The following is a 6,000-nucleotide window of genomic DNA, read 5'->3' as shown; positions in this document are numbered from 1 at the left end:
CTGAACTCAATACAGACAGCCTCATTCTGTACCATAATCTGTGATTTGCAAATTTTGAGACGTCACAATTATAATGGATTGGTAGAGCTTTACTGCCAGCCCTTTCAAGATTTTCATCCTCCAACTGCAGCACCGGTAAATTATTACTAATAGAAATGAGAAAGAAAATATACATGCTGATAGCTACATAGGTCGTGAATAGTAAATTAGTATGTCATTTATTTTAGGTATTAAATGTTTCATAGTCATACTATAATTACGTAGCTTCTTTGTTTCTTTGTAGGTCCCAAAAGAGTCTACAAATGTTGTCTCCTTAATCCTTGCAACTTACCTGAGTCATTGATTCAGTAAAACATTCAATGGCACATGTTTGTTGTTAGGGTCAAAAGAGATAATCCATCTAAAGGCCTCATGGACATTGCAAACCATGTAAGTCATCAGTTATGTAGCTACTGCTGCTTTTCCTTCACCTCCTTGTAGTGATACTGGTAGTAGAGTAGTCGTACTAGTAGAGACTATATTACTAGTACTTTGGTAAAAATAAGAGCATGTTCAATAAACACCTTTTATTAGGTCAGACTGGAGGACGTATAGCAGCAAGATGAATTTCTTCTTATTTTCTGTTTTTCTGAGGTTAATGTGGATGGTTTCTGTGAGGTTAACACTGCGTAGCAGTCTTAACTTAATGTTGTTCTATGATCACATGATTATCTGTGATTACTATGCTTATCTGTATATTTCTGGTTTTTTTCCATTTCCAAATGTATGTTCTACACATGTCCTCAATCACCATGACAAATCAAAACATTAGGATACTGTCTCTTTGGTACTGATTTGTCGTGTGTATGAAATGTGGAAATCCATATGAAAATCTGAACTACATATCTGCCAGACATGTAATCATTCAGCAGATTTTCCTGTTAGTACTACTGCAAGCAGTACTAATACTATAACTAATGGTATCAGTCCTAGTAACACTGCTATTACATTAGTACTAAGAAGCATATCATCAGTTATCACTCAAAGGATTTCATTGGTGGTTTTTCATATACATATTGTAATGTGTTCTGCTTTGTTCTGCTTTATTATTCATTTTACATATTTTTCTAGAATACTCTGTGGATATCTATGCCTGCAGAGATAATTTACTTGCAGTGCAAGCATTGAAGCCACTGCAAACACAGGTAAGGGGAAGTCAATGGTTGAAGATGACAGACTCCTGATTTTACTCATCCATGATTGCAAACTATAAAATATTATGTCCTTACCTGATTTCCTTACTTTAATTTGGTATAATTCTTGCACAGAAATGGTGAGTGGGACATTCTCATCTGGTTCCTGATCTCAGGCGTCAAGCATAAGAACGTTAACAATTAAGTCTTAATTTAGCTGTGTTTTTTCATAGATGCCATTCAAGCAATTGAGGATATACTCTGTGCTATGCCTGATTTGCTGTTATTATGTTTCAGATATGGATGTTAGATTTAGTCACATATCTCCCTGCATCTAGTGAGATGGTCTCTTTTTTCCATTTTAATCTGTTAATGTTGAAAATTGCCAGGCTTTGCCTGGGTTCCCATTCTCTGCACTGGAGTCGATATTCTCTCTCTGAGAAGTTGGCAGGAGAATGGATGGACTGTTCTAATGTGTCCCCTCTCTCACAGATCACTCTACAGTGTCTGAAGGCAAGCTTTTCTGTATATATCTGGGTTTTATGTTGTTTTAGACACCAGATAAATTTGGTCACTGTTCCTCCATCTGATCTGGAAACTGTAGTCTCCACTTACCAAATGGTAGGAGCCTGGAAATCCCTAGACATGTAGAGGCTTATGTACAAGAAGCTCATAATTTTTACATATTATCTATTCCTTACCACCTTACCTCTGATATGGCTCATTATTTTTGAGACCATTCCAGTTGTATGATTACAAGACTAGGATTTTAAAATAGTTTTCAGTAAAGCATTGCACCACCTAATTCATCTGGTAAGGGGTTTAAGTCCTTAGCAATCCTGAAGTCTCCTCTTGGAAGGGTTTGTATTTTCCAAGAACTGAGTATGCGGTTGGGCACTTCTACAAATCCATCTTTCTTTTTTGATAAAATTCTTATTTTTCTAATATTGATTGATGGCTAATGCTGACAGTTTGTGGAGGTATTTAGTGTAGTATCTCTTTGTTTTCTCCCAACCTTACTAATCTAGTGTTTTGGGTTTTTTTGGTTTTTTTTTTTTTTTGAGATGGAGTCTCGCTCTACCACCCAGGCTGGAGTGCAGTAGCCCATCTCTGCTCACTGCAAGCTCCGCCTCATGGGTTCACACCATTCTCCCACCACAGCCTCCTGTGTAGCTGGGACTACAGGCACCCGCCACCACGCCGGGCTAATTTTTTGTATTTTTTTTAGTAGAGACGGGGTTTCATCGTGTTAGCCAGGATGGTCTTGATCTCCTGACCTTGTGATCCGCCCACCTCAGCCTCCCAAAGTGCTGGGATTACAGGCGTGAGCCACCGCGCCTGGCCAAATCTAGTGGTTTTAATGTTTTAATCAATCTAGATAGACAGTGATATCTCCATTTTTAATGCATTGCTGTATTAAAGAAATTCTCATTCCACATCATCACAGTCAGTATGTCCCAAGCGAGGCACTTAGGAGAACTCTGCCTTCCCATCATAAATCTGAAAGTACCTGCTGCCAGCTGTTCCTGTATTGCTCTCTCATGCATCAGAATTATCAAGATCTCGGGACCATTTGGTGTAAAGAAAGACAGTTAATAGCGCTGGTGAATTATACGTGATAGAACTACCCACATACTTATAGATGGTTAAGTAGGTTGTAAATAGGAAATTTCATAGGTAATTTTTCTTCTCTAGATGTGCCTTTTATGTTGCCATAAGCATAATATCTCCTGTGTTATATTTGAGGATCCAAGCGTATCTTCACATGTTTTTTCATTAATCTTCATGACAAATCCGTGTCAGTATGTAAAAGATTGTGAGGACATATGAGAAGATTCACATAAAATTCCCAAGTACATTGATGTGGTGTAAGTGAGCATTTCAGAAATATAAATTATTGTTGTTGCTCTTGTCCTTTTATTTGTATTTACCTTTATTTTTTCACATAACTTATGAAATAAGGCAATGAAATATAAGGAGATACATAGTAGTCTCTGACTCCATGCCAACTGGTGTATTCAGTGCTTGTTCTTGCGTGGTAAACAGCTTATCATCATCTGTGTGAGATAAACATCCTAAGGCCAATGCAAGAAATAAATACTGGCACAACTGGGTCAAAATAGGCATCATTTTTCAGAAGTTTGCTCTCACAGCTTTTCTAGACCACTAAGGGTCCCAGATATTGGGCATATTTCTTCTCTGCTGCTCCTATCAACAATTACGTTTGTTTTGGTGAATAAAGGATATGAAACTTTGCTACCTTTGTGTCACGCTTTGTAGCAGAATAATAGATGAATGATCACGTAGGTATTGGTAATTTCATGGTTGGGAGTGAGTGCAAGGTTCCAATCATGGCCAGGAGAACTGGATTGGGGTCAGGTATCTCCCCACATATTGTCTTACAACCTCCCTCTGATTCAGATTATTTCAGGGAAAATCAGAGCACAAAAGGCCTGTAGGAAAATTCAAAAGTTATGAGTTAAAAGTGTAGTTTCCTCTCAAAGGATGGATGAAGAAAATAAGTTTCTGTCTTTCACATCTCTAATGTACTTTAGCTTCACTTAGGAATTTTTGCAATTCTTGTCATTTTTATTCTATGTATTTGGAATGAAGGAATATATGGAGAAAAGAAGGATGTGGTGGGTGTATTGGAGGGTTTTTTGTGTAAACTTTAGGGAGATCAAACCACATGAAATGCTATATATATAAAAAACTTCCATTTTTAGAAGTTTGAGAAGATAAAGATACTTCTTAAGAAAAGGAAACATGTCCAAGCTTATTCTCTCCTGCTCCTGTCAATCATCTAGGTAAACATGGAGAAGATTAGTGGGTCTCCACTTAAGGAGGGATGCAGTTTGGAGAGCAGTGGGATGAGCATTCTCTAGGACTTATGAATCAAATTGTTCAGGCATCATGTTCTATTGAGGGGAATGATAAAACCTGCAGGGGACAATGGTGGGGCACAGGGCAGCGCTTCCGCAATCAGCCATGCTGTGTGCAATGCCCTACTCAGAAAGGTGCCATTTATGTAGATTTTATGTCACTGGCTCCTTTCTGGGTAGAGCAAGGCTCACCATGTATATATTTGTGGTGGCCTTTGTACCCGTGTTGGAGTAGAGCTGCAAAAGCCTCAAGCTGCCTTCCCTGATAACAGGAGAACCTAGCTGGCCATGTGGACCTCAGGCATCCTCAAGATGATTTCAGTGGTGCATTCCTACCAATGTGAACACCTACAGGTTAAAGAAGAGAAAGATGAGATGAAGATCGTTCCTAATAGAGTAATAGAAAACGGTAACAAGCTTGTTCTCACCTGGTCCTGGCAATCACTGGGTAAACATAGAGCAAGTGAGAGGGTTCTCACTGAGTCAGGCATGACAGTTGGTGGGCAGTGGGCTGGACATTCTCTAGGACTTAATAATAAGTAAGTTCCAGATTCAGGCATCCTGCTGTGTTGAAGGGAGTGATAAAAGATGCAGGGGACAATGGTGGGGGATGGGGCGGCACCTTCACAATCAGCCATGCTGTGGGCAGTGCCTTACTCAGAAAGGTGCCAGTCACTTACACTACATGTCACTGTGTCCTTTCTGCGTAGAGTAAGGCTCACTAAGTACAAGTTTGTGGTGGCCTTCGGACAGGTAATAGGGTGGAGCTGCAGGAGTTGTCTTTAATAATGCCGGGAGATCCTAGCTGGCCACCTGAACCTCAGGCATCCTTAAGACGTGAACACCTGTAGAGAAGAGAGGGATAGAAGACGTGAAGTTACTTCCTAATAGAAGAACAGAAAATGGAACAAGATGGCCGGGCGCGGTGGCTCACGCCTGTAATCCCAGCACTTTGGGAGGCCGAGGCGGGCAGATCACGAGGTCAGGAGATCGAGACCATCCCAGCTAAAATGGTGAAACCCCGTCTCTACTAAAAATACAAAAAATTAGCCGGGCGTAGTGGCGGGCGCCTGTAGTCCCAGCTACTTGGGAGGCTGAGGCAGGAGAATGGCGTGAACCCGGGAGGCGGAGCTTGCAGTGAGCCGAGATCCCGCCACTGCACTCCAGCCTGGGCGACAGAGCGAGACTCCGTCTCAAAAAAAAAAAAAAAAAAAAAAAAAAATAGAAAATGGAACAAGTTTGTTCTCTCCTGCTCCTGGGTGTGATCTGGGCAAACACCGAGCAGGTGAGAGTACTTTTACTGAGTGAGATACGCAAATTGGAGGGCAGTGAGCTGGAAATTCTCTAGGAGTGATGAATAAATGAGATCAGGGTTCAGGCATTCTGTTGCGTTTAGGAGAGTGATGAAAGCTGCTGGGAGCAACCATGCGAGACTGGGCAGCACCTCCGTATTCAGCCATAATGTATGCAGTGCCTTTTCTAGAACAGTTCCAGTCACTTGGATTATATGTAACTGGTTCCTTTCTGGGTGGAGTAATATCACCAAACACAACTTTTGGCTGGCCTTTGGACTCCTGATGCAGTGGAGCGTCAGGGGCCTTTCAACTGCCTTCTCGAATGCCAGAAGATCCTAGTTGGTCACGTGGACCTCAGGCATCCTCAAGATGATTTCGATGGTGCACACCAAACAATATGAGCACTTATGTGTTAAGGAAGCAAAAGATAAAAGATCAATATATGTTTTGTAGAAGAGGAGAAATCTGGAAAAAGTGTGTTCACTACTGGTCTTGGTAATTATCTGGCTAAACAAAGCAGATGAGAGGGTACTCACTGAAGGAAGCATGCAAGTTGAAGGGCAATGAGCTGGGTATTCTTTGGGACTTATGAATAAGTTAAGTTCGGGGTTCAGGCGCCATGCTGTGTTGAGGGGAGTGGTGAAAGCTGTA

At 41.0% G+C, this 6,000-nt stretch overlaps 3 non-coding genes across 3 annotated transcripts; all 3 read left to right on the top strand.

The window, feature by feature from the left end:
- The first annotated feature begins 311 nt into the window (after nucleotides 1-311).
- MIR891B (microRNA 891b) lies at nucleotides 312-390 on the top strand. The gene has a single exon (NR_030590.1). It is a non-coding gene; the product is annotated as a microRNA 891b (primary transcript).
- A 3,778-nt stretch (nucleotides 391-4,168) lies between these two features.
- MIR892B (microRNA 892b) lies at nucleotides 4,169-4,245 on the top strand. The gene has a single exon (NR_030593.1). It is a non-coding gene; the product is annotated as a microRNA 892b (primary transcript).
- A 454-nt stretch (nucleotides 4,246-4,699) lies between these two features.
- On the top strand, nucleotides 4,700-4,774 carry MIR892A (microRNA 892a). Its single transcript, NR_030584.1, has one exon. It is a non-coding gene; the product is annotated as a microRNA 892a (primary transcript).
- The last annotated feature ends 1,226 nt before the right edge of the window (nucleotides 4,775-6,000 follow it).

This window comes from Homo sapiens, chromosome X, assembly GCF_000001405.40.
Source record: "Homo sapiens chromosome X, GRCh38.p14 Primary Assembly".
NCBI classification, from domain to species: Eukaryota; Metazoa; Chordata; class Mammalia; order Primates; family Hominidae; genus Homo; species Homo sapiens.
The sequence above is the reverse complement of the archived record's forward strand: the minus strand, read 5'-3'. Positions and strand labels throughout refer to the sequence as shown.